This window comes from Homo sapiens, chromosome 12 (genome assembly GCF_000001405.40).
Source record: "Homo sapiens chromosome 12, GRCh38.p14 Primary Assembly".
NCBI classification, from domain to species: Eukaryota; Metazoa; Chordata; class Mammalia; order Primates; family Hominidae; genus Homo; species Homo sapiens.
The window spans coordinates 94378170-94397503 of NC_000012.12; the positions used below are offsets into that span (position 1 = coordinate 94378170).

General features: G+C 38.2%; 1 protein-coding gene across 36 annotated transcripts in view; it reads right to left on the minus strand.

The window, feature by feature from the left end:
• The window catches only part of CEP83 (centrosomal protein 83), a 194793-nt gene that overhangs the window by 112508 nt on the left and 62951 nt on the right, over positions 1 to 19334 (minus strand). For all 36 annotated transcript variants that reach the window (XR_007063082.1, XR_007063081.1, XR_007063083.1 and 33 more), the window contains one exon: positions 622 to 873. Coding sequence is in view for 28 of the 36 variants with exons in the window: in XM_047428923.1 (XP_047284879.1) it covers positions 622 to 873 (252 nt within the window). In the remaining 8 variants the exon portion in view is untranslated. The remainder of the gene's footprint in view (positions 1 to 621; positions 874 to 19334) is intronic.

Sequence of the window (19334 nt, forward strand, 5' to 3'; positions counted from 1 at the left end):
CACTAAGAACTAAGAAGAATAAGTGTATCTGAATAAAATGGAAACCAAGAATTTTCATAAGGCAATACCCGTAGGAGTACCAGTCAGGTCTGCCAACACTTATCTTTCTCTAATGAACCCAGGGAAATAATTCTGTAAAGGCATGTATACCTTTACAGTTGGATTTTACTACTCTGGCAAGAAGCTGTCGTAAGATACATCAGTATGGTATTTCTGTTCAAACAGGATTTGTGACTTTAAGACCTCAAATCCCAGTGTAAGGAATGTACTATCTTGAAAGAAATTATTCTTTCTGGTTTGAGATGACTTTACGCTCAGAAACTCAAATACATATATTTTTATTTTGCATATTCTATTATGTGGCATTTTAAGAGTTAAGACATTTCAGATAGGTGACTTGACTCCCAAAGAATAAATACCCCTTTGTAAATGTGGTAGCATACGTATTGCTTATGAATCAATAGCTTTCTTCTTTACTAAAAGAATAAATACTCTTGGGATTACACAAATGCATCAGCATTAGCTTGGGGGGCATACATTTATGCTCTAAAAATCAAAGGCTTGTCAACTGCACTTTAAAAAAGTATGCCATACTCTACTGGGAAGTAATTAGAATCTTACCTCCAGGGATCTGACTGTAGCCTGCATCTCAGCCAACTGCCGCACCTGTATTCTTTGGGCATTTTCCACCTGAGCCTCAGAATTCTCCTTTTCAGCCTTTAATTCCGCTACTTCAGCCTCTAAACCTTTTAATTTTTGACACAAATAGACTTTTTCTCGAGCAAGTTGTTCCACTCGTTTGCTGTCTTTTGTGAGATCAACATTAAGCAGCTGGTTACGTAGTTCTTCTTTATCTTCCTCCAGTCTTGCAATCTAATAATAATTTTAAAGAAAGCATACAAGGTTAAATTATTAAATTTTCAGTCATGAACATGCTTTACAAGTCAGTAAAATTAAAAAATGCACAAAATCAAAGCTCAGGTGCTGAAACAAAGTACAAAGGAAAAAATTTTAAGTATCACTATCTTTTTGTTCTTAGTGGGACTCAAATGTGAGGTCAAGGACTGTGTCCTGTTTTCCCTGTATCTCCACGTGGTGTCTAGAACAGGGCTTAATCAGTTGCTGACTAAAATTTAAAATTATAATACTGTAAGTACTAAACATACATCAAGTATTTTAAAATTCATCATAACATTATAGGGGTTCATGACCAAAACTCTGACTACTCCAAAGCTTTTCCTCACATGACTGTAATTCTTGAGCTAGTCTATACTAATAAAATTATCTATGTCAGGGCAACTTAATTCACACAAAAACTGCCTGTCTGTGTACATAAAAGCAAATGTGATTGATGAGAGTTTTTAAATGATAGCTGAGAGTTTATTAAAGTCCTAATTGTAATGATGGCCTAGTTCTTAGTTCTTAGATTCAAGAAGAATTGAAAAATCATTACTCCAGGGCAGGTGTTAAAGTCACTGGGGAACTTGCAGAGCAGAGACACCAGTGGTCTTGTCATTCATGCCAATTATCACTGCTGGACTTCGTGGGCCTCCAAATCAGTGGGTTTCAAACTGTTTCCTAACCTCTGAGGCATTTCAGAAGCTCCTCACCTCTGGAGACCAGGGGCAAGCAATCAGGGTCTAGAACTCATTCTTTCCCTTTCCTGATCTCCCCAACTATCTATCCCCTACCACCACCCCCACCAAATTTCTGGCATTAACCATACGCTTCTATTTTTAGTCTCTTTCTGGGGTTTCTTCAAATGATTCAACTTAAGTAAATGATTCAGCTGGGTTTTTTGTTTGTTAAGAAGAAGTTGAAAACCACTGCTCAAAACAGGACAAGAGGTTGTTTGTAGCCAGGATGAACATCAAAGACTCACTGTAAGCTCCCCGGCCCTGCAAAAAAAAAAAAAAAAAAACAAAAAACAAAAACAGAAAAAACTAAAGAAATGCTCCAAAACCTTAGGCAAAAGTGGTCCAAGAAACAACTGTTTGATCACAGCACTATCAATGAATCTAAAAAGTTTAAGACCTCCACCCCAGGGCAGGATCTGTTCTCCACACCTGTAAAATGGGAAACTGAATTACATGCACTCTAACAACCTTTTTAGTTTTAACACATAGTGATTCCAGTTTGTTTTTGGACATGCTGAATTTAAATGCCAATGAGAAATATAGGTAGAGCTATCCAGCAGACAAATATTATTTTGCAGAGAATAAAATTTATCCTTGAAGGCAGCTGTGGCATTTAGAGTTAAGTCCTCAAAAGCCCAACTAATTAGTATTTCTCTCCTATTTTTCCTCCCACGCTTTACAAATAACTATTACTTCCTGGTTTGGTCCCGGATTACTTTTTTATCCACTGTATTCTGTCCTCAGTTTAAATGAAGAACTTGGGCTAGCTGATCTTTAAGATACTGTTTACCTTTTACATGAGGTAACCTGATATGGTTTTAATGTGCTATATTAGAGGTGTGATGGCTCATCTAAGGTCAGGAGTCAATGTGTAACTCAAGTTCAGACAATGGTGCCCTTTACTGAGTACTTACTATGGATCAAATACTGAGCTAAGTGCTCTACATGTAAAATCAACATTAACAATAATTTCTCTTGTAGTCCCCATTTTACACATAGGGTCACACAGTTCACAATGTTCTTGACCTGCATACTTCCCATATTATTGCTTTCTTTCCACGTTTTGGGAGGCATCTGTGTGATAGCTGAAGTGATAGTTGAAGCTATGAGACTGGATGACAGCTAGCTGATGACTGAAAATTAGATTCCATGTTTATAACTCCTAAACCAGACATATCAAATCATTCTTACAAAACTGCCATCTAATTTTGCTATTCATTTATTTATTCAGGCAACAAATATTTACTGAGTACTTACTAAGTACCCAAAACTGTTTTAGGTAGTAAGGATACAACCCAGCAGATAAGCAAACACAAAACCTCTGCTGATGCAGAGCTTATTACATTCAATCACTGCCATAACACCACTTGTGTCCCAGACATTTGGCACAGATCTTGGATACAGCCTCAGCTCTTTCTTTTTCCGCCATTCTCAATCAGACTTACATGTCATCTTCCTTGATGTCCTCAATTTCTTGTGCTCTCAATCTTTCCTCTAAATTTCCAAAGGGCTTTGTTTAAATTTCTCTTTTATGAACTTTATTTAAATCTGCCTGTATTGCAGCTACCTCTACATTTACTCTATTCTATTCTAAATACAAACTTACTTGACAGATAAGACAATGTGTTAACTAATATTACTTTTTAAAAAGTTATTGAAGTAAAGGAAACTAAACAGAAACAATAGGGACTAGGAATAGTGACTGATTTCCTTTTCAAAAAATGATAGCACTTCAATTCCCCAAGGCACACAAGAGGGAAAGGTAGTGTTACCTAATTACTCCATCCTTCTTTGTTGTTATTACCTTTACGATATAACATAGGGATATGGGTAAGAGAAAAGGCTCTGGAATCAAACTGCCTAGGTTTCTTTTTTCTTTTGGTATTTTAAAGATATTGCTTTACTGTCTTCTGGCTTTTATTACTTGTAAAAATAAGTCTGTCGTCATTATCTGTTCCTCTGTATAAGATGTCTTTTCTTTCTTCAGTTACTTCTTTTAAAATTAAACTTTTTCAGATAATGGCAGGTTCACAAGGAATTATTATAAGGATTAATATAGCGGGATCCTGTATATCCTTTAACCAAGATTCCCCTATTGGTAACATTCCTCTTCCCTTTTTGGGGAAGACATTATGTAGAATTGGTACTGATACTTCTTTAAACACCTGGTAAAATTCTCTAGTTAACTATTCATTTTGGGAGTTTTAAAATTACAGATTGAATTTCCCTAACAGTAATAGGTCTATACAAACTGCCAATTTCACATTAAATGAGTTGTGGTCGTTTGTGCCTTTTAAGAAATTGATTCATTTCATCTGCATTGTCAAATTTATTAGAGTAGAGTTGTTCAAAGGATTATCTGATTTCCCTTCTAATGTCTGCAAGGTCATGAGTGATACTCTTTCATTCCTGAGATAGGTAAAATTTTTATCTTCCATCTTTTTTGTTAGTTTTGCTAAAAGTTGGTCAATTTTATTGTCTTTTCAAAGAACCAGCTCTTTGTTTCACTGATTTTCTCTATTATTTTTGTTTTCAATTTCTGCTATGTTTATTATTTCCCTCCTTCTGCTTGCTTTACTTTTATTTTGATACTCTTTTTCTAGGTTCTTGAGGTGGGAGCTTACATTACTGACTTGTTCCCTCATTTCTAATGCATGTATTTAGTGCTATAAATGTTTCTTGGCACTGCTTTAGCTGTGTCCTAAAATTTTTGATATGCTGCATTTTCATTTTCATCCAATGTATTTTTTGAAATGTAATCTCATTGAAATGTTTTTCTTTGAAATTTCCACCTTGACCCATAAATTTTTTTAAGTATGTCATTTCATTTCCAAGTGTTTGAAGATTTCCCTGTTATTTTCTGTTATTAATTTCTAGTTTGATTCTATTGTGGTCAGAAAACTCACTCATTATGATTTCAAGTTGTATAAGTTTGTTGAGGTTTATTTCATAGCCCAGGATATGGTCTATCTTGTATATGTTCAGTGAGCATTTATATACATTCAGCGAATACTTCAAAAGAACATGTCTGGGTGTTCTCCTTGGGTGGCATGTTTTATAAATGTTATTTAGGTTCTGATGGTTGATGGTGTTATTGCGTTCTTATTTATCCTTGCTGATTTTTAATTGTTCTATCACTTGTTGAGAGAGGGGTATGAAGTCACCAACTATAATTATAGATTTGTCTATTTCACCTTTTAGTTCTTTCAATTTTTGCTTCAAACATTTTGCACCTCTGGTGCACATACATTTAGTATTCCTGTGTCTTCTTGCTGGGTTGACCTCTTTTGTCACTATATAATCTCTTTCTATATAAATCTGGTATTTTTCTTTGTTATTTTCCTTTGCCCTGAAGTCTGCTCTATCTGATATTAATACTGATGCTCCTGCTTTTAATTAATGATTCCATGATATAGCTTTGTATATCCTTTTATTTACAAACTGCCTATACTGTTATACTTGGAGTTTCTTATAGACATCATACAGTTACCCCTTGACTTATGATGCAATTACATCCCAATAAACTCATGAAAAGTGAAAAATGCAGTTTATGCCGGCAACACAGCATATGGACCCTGACTTATGATGGTTCAAGTTACAACTTTTCAACTTTACAATGGTATAAAATGACATGCATTCAGTAGAAACCATATGTCATAAGGAGCACCCTGACTTACAATGGAGTTACATCCCAATAAACCCATTGTTAAGTTGAAAAATCATCCAAGTTCAAACACTGTAATCTGGGGACTGTCAGTACAGTTAGGTCATTTTTAAAAATCTACACTGTAAATATCTGTATTTTAATTCATGTATTCAGACCATTTACATTTATTATGATTGATACGTTAAGCCATTTTGGTCTGTTTCTTCTCTTAGTTTCTCTGTTTTCTTTTTCTTGCCTGTTACATGAACATATTTCAGGATTCCATTTTATCTATAATGTTTTAAATGTATCTCCTTGTATAGCTTTCTTAGTGGTTGTTCTAGTTATTATATTTATGTAACTTATCATGGTCTACTGAATTCATTTTGTCAGTTTGAGTGATATGTAGAAACTTCACCTCCTTTTATATCCCTTTGTCCTTGCTCATTTATAATATAATTACCTAAAATATTTTCTCTATATATTTAGAACCACATCAGAGTTAAAATTTTTACTTCAACCACCAAACAAAATTTAGAAAATTCATGAAGCAAAAGGAAGTCTATTACATATACCCACAGTTCTGTTTACCATGTACATTTATCCTTCCTAATACTTTGAGATTCCTTCTTTTTACTGTTTTCTTCCTATTTAGACAAACTTCTCTTTTGGATAGGTCTACTGGCAAAAAGTTCCTTCATTTTCCTTCATTTGAGAATGTCTTGATTTCCCCTACATTCCTGAAGGATATTTTTGCTGGATATAGAATTATGAGTTGACAGTCCTTATCTTTCAGCACTTGATAATGTGCCACTTCCTTCTGGCCTCTGATTTCTGATGAGAAATGAGCTAGTTTTCTAATTGTTTTCCCCAATGGGTAAGATATAATTTCTTGGGCTGCTTTCAAGATTTTCCTATAGTTTTTTTTTAAACCTGACTATGGTATCTCTTGCTGTGAATGTGTTCAGCTTCTTGAAGCTACATGTTTGTGCCTTTACCAAACTTGGAAAGTTTTTAGTCATTATTTCTTCCATTACCTTCTCACCCTGCCCTCTTTTCTCCTTTCAGGGACAGAAATCTTAGATCTTTTGTTATAGTCCTACAGGATACTGAGAATCTGTTTATTTGCTTTTTAAATCTATTTTCTCTAGTCTGTTCAGATTGGGTAATTTCTAATGTTCTACCTTTAAGCTCAGTAGTTTTTTCCTCTATCCCTTCCATTCTGCAGTTGAGCCTGGCAACTCAGGCTTTCTTAGTCACTCTTTCAGTTCTAAAATTTCCAATTTTCTTCTCTTTATTCTCTGTTTCTTTGCTAAGTCTTTTGGGTTTTGTTTGTTTGTTTGTTTCAACCACGTTTATAATTCCTCATTGAATCATTCTTACCATGGCTGCTTTGAAATGTTTGTCAAATAATTCTAACACCTCTGCATCTCAGTGTTGGCATCTATTAGTGTGTTTTACATTCAGTTTCAGACCTTCCTAGTTCGTGGTGTGACAAGCAATTTTCAATGGAAACTTGGACATTTGGGGAATTAAGTTATGAGACTCCAGATCTTAAACAAAGTTTGTATTAGCTGGCTTTTTGTGATATTGCTATGGTAGGGGATGGGTGGTGTTGCCACCTCATTACTACCACGAGGAGGTAGTAGTCCCGATTCTCCACTCTACTTCTGTTGATACCCAAGGTGGGAGGGCTTCTCATGATACCCATAATGAACAGGGGTGGGAGTTCTGGTTCCCCATTAGGCCTCAACTGACACCTCCCTGGATGGGAAGCGTAGGAGTAATTTATTATTGCTCCTCATGTTACCTCCATCGATACCACAGGGCCAGATGTGGCCTCCATTGATAACACGCAGCTGGGTAGTGGTTAAAGTCCTGACCCTGTACTAGGCCTCCTCTGACATGACCCAGGATGTCATGTCAGAGCAGGATGAGGGCAGGGTACCTCATTACTGCCAGTTGAGAGTGGATGTCCAAGCTCCTCATACTGTCTCTAGTGACAGCATGGCAGAGGATGGGAGCCCTTGTTATTACCCAGGTGAAGATGTCTTTGTCTGGTTTTGGTATTAGGATAATGCTGGCCTTGTAGAATGAGTTAGGAGGCATTTCCTCTGATTCTGTCTTCTGGAAGAGATTATAGAGAATTAACATAAATTCTCCCTTAAATGGCTGATAGAGTTCACCAATGAACCCACCTGGGCTGCCCAGTCATTTCTGATTGGATGTCAGACATTGTGAATTTAATGTTTTTTTCAGAGCTGGATTCTTTGTTTTCCTTTACTTATTTCTGAATCTTCATTCTGGAATGCAGCTAAGATATAGTAATGAGCCACATAATGAAGTTTCAGTCAACAACAGTCCACATACATATGACAGGGGTCCCATGAGTATAATATTGTATTTTTACTGTTTAAACCTTTTCTATGTTTAGATATGTTTAGGTACACAAATATTAACCATTATGTTACAATGCCTACAGTATTCAGTACAGTGATATGCTTTACAGGTTTGTAGCCTAGGAGTAATAGGCTGTACCATATAGGATAGGTATGTAGTATACTGTGCCATCTAGGTGCATATATGTATAGTCCATGATGTTTGCACATGACAAAATCGCCTAATGACACATTTCTCAGAACATATCCCTGTCATTAAGCTACACGTTACTGTACTTAGAAACAGTCTGATCTTTTCAAATCTTACTTTTATTCTTGTTAACCAGAACCAGAATAGCCTTTAGTCTATGGCTAATTTGGCCCTGCTACTGAGGCAAAATCCTTCTGAGATTTCTACTCAAAGTACTATGCATTAAGAGTATCTTTCCACTCTGTCTAACGGAAAAATAAATTTTCCCAGTCCCATGTGAACTCTAGAGACTGTCCCACCTAAATAATTTTCTTTCTCTGGCCTTGTATAGTTTCCTCCACACATGCGCTAATCAATACTGCAAAGTTACCCTCTGCAGAACTCTGGAGCTCTGCAATACTCTGCTTTTCAAATTCTAGTTTCCTTGGCCTCTCAAATTCTGAACTCCAACTCCTCAGCTCAAAGATCATGTAGCTCAATTTAGGTTTTTTATCTCTGCACAGTGGCCTGGAAACTCTCCAGAACCTAAGATGGGGCAATCATAGAGCTCTTATCATTTGTTTTCCTTCCCTCAGATCTGCCCTGTGCTGCCTATTTTCCAATGTCTGAAAACTGTGGTTTCCTATTTTTGTCCCAGTTTTCAGTAAACGCCTTAAAGTAAATTCCATCCCTATTCCATCCTAGCCAGAAGCAGAAATCCCCAGACTACTTAGATTTGAATCCTGACCATATACTAGTTGTGCAACCTTGGGCCAGTCTCTCAGTGTTTTTATCTTCTCATTTATAAAATGAAGATGATTATCTAACTCCTAGCATTGTTGAGATGATTTTTTAAAAGTATATATAAAGATACTGGTACAAAAACAGACACACAGCCAAATGGAACAGAATACAGTAACCAGAAATAAAGCTGCATATCTACAACAATCTGATGCTCAACAAAGTTGACAAAAACAAACAATGGGGAAAGGACTCCCTATTTAATAACTGGTGTTGGGAAAACTGGCTAGCCATATGCAAAGGAATGAAACTGGATCTCTACTTTTAACCACACCCAAAAGATAACTCAAGATAAATTAGGAAATACCATTCTGGACATTAGCCTTGGCAAAAAATTTATGACTAAATTTATGACCCTCTAAAGCAAGGGTCCCCAAACCCTAGGCCATGGACCATTACCAGTCCATGGCCTGTCAGGAATGGGGCCACACAGCAGGAAGTGAGCAGCAGGTGAGCGACCATTACTGCCTGAGCTCTACCTCCTGTCAGATCAGTGGGAGCATTAGATTCTCATAGTGGTGTGAACCCTATTGCGAACTGCACATCTGAGGGATCTAGGTTGCATGCTCCTTATGAGAATTTAATGCCCTAATGCCTGATGATCTAAGGTGGAACAATTTCATCCTGAAACCATTCCTCCCAGAGCCTTGGTTCATGGAGTAATTGTCTTCCACGAAACCAGTCCCCAGTGTCAAATGGCACCAGGGACTTTGGGGACCACTGCTCTAAAGCAATTACAACAAAGACAAAAAGTGATAACTGGGACCTAATTAAACTAATGAGCTTTGGTTTGGCAAAAGAAACTATCAACAGAGTAAACAGACAACCCACAGAATGGGAGAAAATACCTGCAAACTATGCATCTGACAAAGTTCTAATATCTAGAATCTATAAGGAATTTACATAACTCAACAAGGAAAAAACAACCCCATAATAAAGTAGGCAAAGTACATAAACAGACACTTCTCAAAAGAAGACATATAAGCAGCCAACAAACATGAAAAAAATGCTTAACATCACTAATCATCAGAGAAATGCAAATTAAAAAACACAATGAGATACCATCTCACACCAGTCAGAATAGCTATTACTAAAAGGAAAAAAAAAATAACAGATGCTAGCAAGGCTGCAGAAAAAAGGGAACATTATACACTATTGATGGCTACGTAAATTAGTTCAGCCACTGTGGAAAACAGTTTGGAGATTTCTCAAATAACTAAAAATAGAACTACCATTCCAGCAATCCCATTACTGGGTATATACTGAAAGGAGAGTAAATCATTCTATTAAATTGACACACACACTCATATGTTCATCACAGCACTATTCACAATAGCAAAAACATGGAATCAACCTGGGTTCCCATCAATGGTGAACTGGATAAAGAAAATATGGTACATATACACCACGGAATACTATACAGCCATAAAAATGAATGAAATCTTGTCCTTTGCAGCAACACAGATACAGCTGGAGACTATCATCCAAAGCAAATTAACAAAGGAACAGAAAACCAAATACCAATACCACATGTTCTCACTTGTAAGTGGGAGCTAAACACTGACTACATATGGACATAAAGATGGGAACAATAGAACTGGGGACTACCAGAGAGGGGAGAGGATGAGGGGGAAAGGGCTCAAAAACTTCCTATTAGGCACTATGCTCAGTATCTAGGTGACGGAATCTTTATTACCCCAAAGTTCTGCCTCAGCATCATGCAATACACCTGTGTAACAAATCTACACATGTAACCCCTGAATCTAAAATAAAACTTGAAATTATTTTTTAAAAAAAGAAAAGTTAAGTAGAATAAAGTATTACAAGTAGTGAAAAGAGAAAATAATTTGGAAACTTTTTTTTACACTGACTTTAATTTGTGCTTTTGATGAAAATACATTTCACTTTTTACATTTTGAATACAATTGCATTTTAATTCTGTGTGTTATTATTAATGGAAAACAAACATGTAAAAAGCTTCTTTACAAGAGTATAGTGATTTTGCTAAATTGAAAAAAAATGTGGCTGGGTGCAGTGGCTCATGCCTGTAATCCCAGTACTTTGGGAGTCTGAGGTAGGTAGATCACTTGAGGTCAGGAGTTCAAGATCAGCCTAGCCCACATGACGAAACCCCACCTCTACTAAAAATAGAAAAATTAGCTGGGTGTGGTGATGCACACCTATACTCCCAGCTATTCAGGAGGCTGAGGCAGGAGAATTGCTTAAACCAAGGAGGCAGAGGTTGCAGTGAGCCAAGATCGCGCCACTGCACTCCAGCCTGGGGAACAGAGTAAGACTTTGTCTTAAAAAAGAAAGAAAGAAAATGCCATGAAATAAATATGTAATAATCTTTAAACTATATATAAAGTGTTTCACTGAATAAATTAAAGGTAAATGGGTCTCCTGTCTCTATTTCTTTCTTTCACTTCTTCAACTTCTGTAAATTCTGATTTACAAATCTGAAATCAACTTAAAAGTATCTGTATATTTATTATGTTAATTGGTACCATGATAATAACTGTGAGGTATGAATGATACTAATACCATTAATTAAGTATCTACTATGTGTCAGGCATTATGGTAAGTATTTTGCACATTAAGTTTCAAGTTCCCAGATCTTAGTTTTTAAATTATTACATTAACTTTTTATATTACTTAAGAAAACAATAGGAGACGGTTGGTCCAAGATGGCCAACTAGGAACAGCTCCGGTCTGCAGCTCCCAGTGTGATGGACGCAGAAGATGGGTGATTTCTGCATTTCCAACTGAGGTACCTGGTTCATCTCACTGGGACTGGTGGACAGTGAGTGCAGCCCACAGAGGGTGAGCTGAAGCAGGGCGGGGCATCACCTCACCCGGGAAGTGCAAGGGGTCGGGGTATTTCCCTTTCCTGGCCAAGGGAAGCTGTAACAGACTACCTGGAAAAACAGGACACTCCTGCCCAAATACTGCATTTTCCCAAGGTCTTAGCAACCAGCAAACAAGGAGATTCTCTCCCATGCCTGGCTCGGTGGGTCCCACGCCCACGGAGCCTTGCTCACTGCTAGCACAGCAGTCTGAGATCGAACTGCGAGGCGGCACCCTGGCAGGGGGAGGGGTGTCCCCCATTGCTGAGGCTTGAGTAGGTAAACAAAACGGCCAGGAAGCTCGAACTGGGCGGAGCCCACTGCAGCTCAACAGGACCTACTGCCTCTAGACACCACCTCTGTGGGTGGGGCATAGCTGAACAAAAGGCAGCAGACAACTTCCGCAAACTTAAACATCCCTGTCTGACAGCTCTGAAGAGAGCAGTGGTTCTCCCAGCATAGCATTTGAGCTCTGAGAATGGACAGACTGCCTCCTCAAGTGGGTCCCTGGCACCCGTGTAGCATAACTGGGAGACACCTCTCAGTAGGGGCCAACAGACACCTCACATAGGCAAGCTGACCCTCTGGGACGAAGCCTCCAGAGGAAGGATTAGGCAACAACATTTGCTGTTCTGTGACGTCTGCTGGTGATACCCAGGCAAACAGGGTCTGGAGTGGAACTCCCGCAAGCTCCAACAGACCTGCAGCTGAGGGAACTGACTGTTAGGAGGAAAACTAACAAACAGAAAGAAATAGCAGCAGGATCAACAAAAAGGTCACCTACACCAAAACCCCATCTTTAGGTCAACAACATCAAAGACCAAAGGTAGATAAAACCAAAAAGATGGGGAGAAACCAGAGCAGAAAAGCTGAAAACTCTAAAAATCAAAGCGCCTCTTCTCCTCCAAAGGATGGCAGCTCCTCGCCAGCAATGGAATAAAGCTGGACAGTGAATGACTCTGACAAGTTGACAGAAGTAGGCTTCAGAAGGTCAGTAATAACAAACTTCTCCAAGCTAAGGGATGATGTTCGAACCCATCGCAAGGAAGCTAAGAACCTTGAAAAAAGATTAGATGAATGGCTAACTAGAATAAACAGTGTAGAGAAGACCTTCAATGACCTGATGGAGTGCAAACCATGGCACGAGAACTTCGTGATGCATGCAGAAGCTTCAATAGCTGATTCAATCAAGTGGAAGAAAGGGCATCAGTGATTGAAGATCAAATGAATGAAATAAACCGAGAAGACAAAGTTAGAGAAAAAAGAGCAAAAAGAAACGAACAAAGCCTCTAAGAAATATGGGACTATGTGAAAAGACCAAATCTACGTCTGACTGGTGTATCTGAAAGTGACAGGGAGAATGGAACCAAGCAGGAAAACATTCTTCAGGATATTATCCAGAAGAACTTCCCCAACTTAGCAAGGCAGGCCAACATTCAAATTCAGGAAATACAGAGAATGCCACAAAGACACTCCTCGAGAAGAGCAACTCCAAGACACATAATTTTCAGATGCACCAAGGTTGAAATGAAGGAAAAAGTGTTAAGGGCAGGCAGAGAGAAAGGTTGAGTTACCCACAAAGGGAAGCCCATCAAACTAACAGCGGATCTCTCGGCAGAAACCCTACAAGCCAGAAGAGAGAGGGGGCCAATATTCAACATTCTTATAGAAAAGAATTTTCCATCCAGAATTTCATATCCAGCCAAACTAAGCTTCGTAAGTGAAGGAGAAATAAAATCCTTTACAGACAAGCAAATGCTCAGAGATTTTTGTCACCACCAAGCCTCCCTTACAAGAGCTCCTGAAGGAAGCACTAAACATGGAAAGAAACAACCGGTATCAGCCACTGCAAAAACAGGCCAAATTGTAAAGACCATCGATGCTATGAAGACACTGCATCAATTAACAGGCAAAATAACCAGCGAACATCGTAATGACAGGATCAAATTCACACACAACAATATTAACCTTAAATGTAAATGAGCTAAATGCACCAATTAAAAGACACAGACTGGCAAATTGGATAAAGAGTCAAGACCCATCAGTGTGCTGTATTCAGGAGACCCATCTCACGTGCAAAGACGCACATAGGCTCAAAATAAACAGAAGGAGGAAGATCTACCAAGCAAAGGTAGATCAAGCAAAAAAAAAAAGCAGGGGTTGAAATCCTAGTCTCTGATAAAACAAACTTTAAAACAAAGATCAAAGGAGACAAAGAAGGCCATGGTAAATGGATCAATGGCAAAGGGATCAATTCAACAAGAAGACCTAACTAACCTAAATACATATGCACCCAATATAGGAGCACCCAGATTCATAAAGTAAGTCCTTAGAGACCTACAAAGAGACTTAGACTCCCACACAATAATGATGGGAGACTTTAACACTCCACTGTCAATATTAGACAGATCAACGAGACAGAAGGTTAACAAAGATATACAGGACTTGAACTCAGCTCTGCAACAAGCAGACCTAATAGACATCTACAGAACTGTCCACCCCACATCAACAGAACATACATTCTTCTCAGCACCACATTGCACTTATTCTAAAATTGACCATATAATTGAACTAAAGCACTCCTCAGCAAATGCAAAAGAACAGAAATCACAACAAATTGTCTCTCAGACCACAGTGCAATAAAATTAGACCTCATGATTAACAAACTCACTCAAAACCACGCAACTACATGGAAACTGAACAACTTGCTCCTGAATGACTACTGGGTAAATAACGAAATGAAGGCAGAAATAAAGATGTTCTTTGAAACCAATGAGAAGAAAGACACAATGTACCAGAATCTCTGGGACACATTTACAGCAGTGTGTAAAGGGAAATTTATAGCACTAAATGCCCACAAGACAAAGCAGGAAAGATCTAAAATTGACACCCTAACATCACAATTAAAAGAACTAGAGAAGCAAGAGCAAACACATTCAAAAGCTAGCAGAAGGCAAGAAATAACTAAGATCAGAGCAGAATTGAAAGAGATAGAGACACAAAGAACCCTTCAAAAAAATCAATGAATCCAGGAGCTGGTTTTTTGAAAAGATCAACAAAATTGATAAACTGCTAGCAAGACTAATAAAGAATCAAATAGATACAATAAAAAATGATAAAGGGGATATCGCCACCGATCCCACAGAAATACAAACTACCATCAGAGAATACTATAGACAGCTCTATGCAAATAAACTGCAAAATCTAGGAGAAATGGATAAATTCCTGGACAAATACACCCTCCCAAGACTAAACCAGGAAGAAGTTGAATCTCTGAATAGACCAATAACAGGTTCTGAAATTGAGGCAATAATTAATAGCCTACCAACCAAAAAAAGTCCAGGACCAGATGGATTCACAGCTGAATTCTACCAGAGGTACAAAGAGGAACTGGTACCATTCCTTCTGAAACTATTCCAATCAATAGAAAAAGAGGGAATCCTCCCTAACTCATTTTATGAGGCCAGCATCATCCTGATACCAAAGCCTGGAAGAGACACAACAAAAAAGAGAATTTTAGACCAATATCCCTGATGAACATTGATGCGAAAATCCTCAATAAAATACTGGCAAACCAAATCCAGCAGCACATCAAAAAGCTTATCCACCATGATCAAGCGGGCTTCATCCCTGGGATGCAAGGCTGGTTCAACATATGCAAATCAATAAACATAATCCAGCATATAAACAGAACCAAAGACAAAAACCACATGATTATCTCAATAGATGCAGAAAAGACCTTTGACAAAATTCAACAGAACTTCATGCTAAAAGCTCTCAATAAACTAGGTATTGATGGAACGTATCTCAAAATAATAAAAGCTATTTATGACAAACCCACAGCCAATATCATACTGAATGGGCAAAAACTGGAAGCATTTCCTTTAAAAACCAGCACAAGACAAGGATGCCCTTTCTCACCACTCATATTCAACAGTGTTGGACGTTCTGGCCAGGGCAACCAGACAAGAGAAAGAAATAAAGGGTATTCAATTAGGAAATGAGGAAGTCAAATTGTCCCTGTTTGCAGATGATATGATTGTATATTTAGAAAACTCCATCATCTCAGCCCCAAATCTCCTTAAGCTGATAAGCAACTTCAGCAAAGTCTCAGGATACAAAATCAATGGGCAAAAATCACAAGCATTCCTATACACCATTAACGGACAAACAGAGAGCCAAATCATGAGTGAACTCCCATTCACAATTGCTACAAAGAGAATAAAATACTTAGGAATCCAACTTACAAGGGATGTGAAGGACCTCTTCAAGGAGAACTACAAACCACTGCTCAACGAAATAAAAGAGGACACAAACAAATGGAAAAACATTCCATGCTTATGGATAGGAAGAATCAATATCGTGAAAATGGCCATACTGCCCAAGGTAATTTAGATTCAATGCCATCCCCATCAAGCTACCAATGACTTTCTTCACAGAATTGGAAAAAACTACTTTAAAGTTCATATGGAACCAAAAAAGAGCCTGCATTGCCAAGACAATCCTAAGCCAAAAGAACAAAGCTGGAGGCATCACGCTACCTGACTTCTAACTATACTACAAGGCTACAGCAACTAAAACAGCTTTTGGTACTGGTACCAAAACAGAGATATAGACCAATGGAACAGAACAGAGGCCTCAGAAATAATACCACACATCTACAACCATCTGATATTTGATACACCTGATAAAAACAAGCAATGGAGAAAGGATTCCCTATTTAATAAATGGTGCTGGGAAAACTGGCTAGCCATATGTAGAAAGCTGAAACTGGATCCCTTCCTTACACCTTGTAAAAAAATTAATTCAAGATGGATTAAAGACTTAAATGTTAGACCTAAAACCATAAAAACCCTAGAAGAAAACCTAGGCAATACCATTCAGGACATAGGCATGGGCAAGGACTTCATGACTAAAACACCAAAAGCAATGGCAACAAAAGCCAAAATTGACAAATGGGATCTAATTTAACTAAAGAGCTTCTGCATGGCAAAAGAAATTACCATCAGAGTGAACACGCAACCTACAGAATGGAAGAAAATTTTTACAATCTACTCATCTGACAAAGGGCTAATATCCAGAATCTACAAAGAACTCAAAGTTACAAGAAAAAAACAAACAACTCCATCAAAAAGTGGGCAAAGGATATGAACAGACACTTCTCAAAAGAAGACATCTATGCAGACAACAGCCACATGTAAAAATGCTCATCATCACTGGTCATCAGAGAAATGCAAATCAAAACCACAATGAGATACCATCTCACGCCAGTTAGAATAGCAATCATTAAAAAGTCAGGAAACAACAGATGCTGGAGAGGATGTAGAGAAATAGGAATGCTTTACACTGTTGGTGGGAGTGTAAATTAGTTCAACCACTGTGGAAGACAGTGTGGCAATCCCTCAAGGATCTAGAACTAGAAATACCATTTGATCCAGCAATCCCATTATTGGGTACATACCCAAAGGATTATAAATTATGCTACTATAAAGACACATCACACACTGGGGCCTGTCAGGGGGTGGGGGCCTGGGGGAGGGATAGCATTAGGAGAAATACCTAATGTAAATGATGAGTTGATGGGTGCAGCAACCCGACATGGCACATGTATACCTATGTATCAAACCTACACGTTGTGCACATGTACCCTAGAACTTAAAGTATAATAAAAAAAAATCAGACATATGAAAAAGTAACAAATTAAAAAAAAAAATAATCACTATTATGATGAGTTTCCTCTTTTTCCCTTTTATGTACTATAATTTATTTTTCCTAAATTAATGATGGCATGTTTTATACAAAAATATTTTGTCATTCCTTACATGAAGAAAATATCACTTAAATTACTTACATACTTAAAGTTCATATTTTGGCTGGGTGTGGTGACTCGGGACGCCTGTAATCCCAACACTGTGGGAGGCCAAGGTGGGCAGATCATGAGGTCAGGAGATCAAGACCATCCTGCCTAACACAGTGAAACCCCGTCTCTACTAAAAACACAAAAAAATTAGCCAGGCATGGTGGGTGCCTGTAGTCCCAGCTACTCGGGAGGCTGAGGCAGGAGAATGGCATGAACCCAGAAGGCAGAGCTTGCAGTGAGCCAAGATGGCGCCGCTGCGCTCCAGCCTGGAGGACAGAGTGAGATTCTGTCTCAAGAAAAAAAAAGAAGAAATAAACCCCAGCATTTCCAGGGAACCAGGGGAGTTCTCTTTTTGCCATAGGAACTTTGGCTCCTCACCTGACACATAAAGCCAAGGAAGAGCACAACCAGTTTGCGAAGCATGATGGAAGAAACTCAGTGACCTGTCATTATGGACTGTCACTTTGATGGTTTTTCACAGGATGTAGTGCTCCTCGTCCCTCCCTCTCTCCTGAGATCTTAGTATTTTGTCTCCACTGAATTACCATTGATTATTTCACTCAGTCTACCATTATAATTACCTGCGCCTACAACTCTGTATTGTCATTACTATTTCCAGAAAATATGAGTCCTAATATAATAAAAACAAAATAGTCCCACTTTTGAATAATGACTATATATGCAACTTCAGCATTTCACCTGTATGAAGTCCCAGACTTAATATGTTCTTACAGTCACATGAAAAAGCATGACTTTTTTTTTTTTTTTTTTTTTTTTTTGAGACAGAGCCTCATTCTGTCACCCAGGCTGGAGTGCGGTGGCACAATCTTGGCTCACTGCAACCTCCACCTCCTGGGTTCAAGCGATTCTCCTGCCTCAGCCTCCAGAGTAGCTGGGACTACAGGTGCGTGCCACCACACCAGGCTAATTTTTTGTATTTTTAGTAGAGACGGGGTTTCACTGTGTTAGCCAGGATGGTCTCGATCTCCTGACCCCGTGATCCACCCGCCTCAGCCTCCCCAAGTGCTGGGATTACAAATATGAGGCACCACACCTGGCCAACACTGTATTTATTCGTAAGATGAGATATGTTCTTTCACATATTATTTCATATATTCTTTTTAGTTTATAATATCATCAGGGACATGTGTATTCCTGGAGTCCCTCTCAGGAAAAACTTTAAAAATCTTCCTAAAGTATTCCCCTAAGAACCAACACACTAAATAATATTGTTACTTTCATCTGTGTAAGTAAAAATGTGCAAGTACTGTGTAAGTCCTAATTAACACAAGAAAATCCAATTATTTTTATTACATGAATCCCTTTTACACTAGTTTAAATTGTAAAATTGGAAGATGACAAGATTCAGCTCTACTTTGAAGTTTTCAAACTAAATTTGTTGTTTCTATAAAGTATATTTGAAACTATTTGCTGTTTCATGATCCACAATCATCTCACCAGGTTTTACTGTTTTTGTATATAGAAAATGAAGTATGAAGGTGATTGAACAAAAGTAAATCCACAATTATACACTCAGTAATACTGCTCCTACATAATCAATTGGGAAGTAAAATGAAAGAAACTTCAGTCTTATTTTTCCACCCTCTACTAATTATGGCTTCTTAACTTGCAGTTTATCTTCAGATTCTTAAGACTATCATAAAACATCACATATGAAAATTAATGATGGCCAGATGTGGTAGCTCACCACCTGTAATCCCTGAACTTTGAGAGGTTGAGGTGGGAGGATCACTTGAGGTCAGGAATTTGAGACCAGCCTGGCCAACATGGTGAAACCCCATCTCTACTAAAAATACAATAATTAGCCAGGCATGGTGGCACCTGCCTGAATCCCAGCTACTCGGGAAACTGAGGCAGGAGAATCACTTGAACCTGGGAGGCAGAGGCTGCAGTAAGCCGAGATTGCATCACTGCACCCCAGCCTGGGCGACAGAGCAAGACTCCATCTCAAAAAT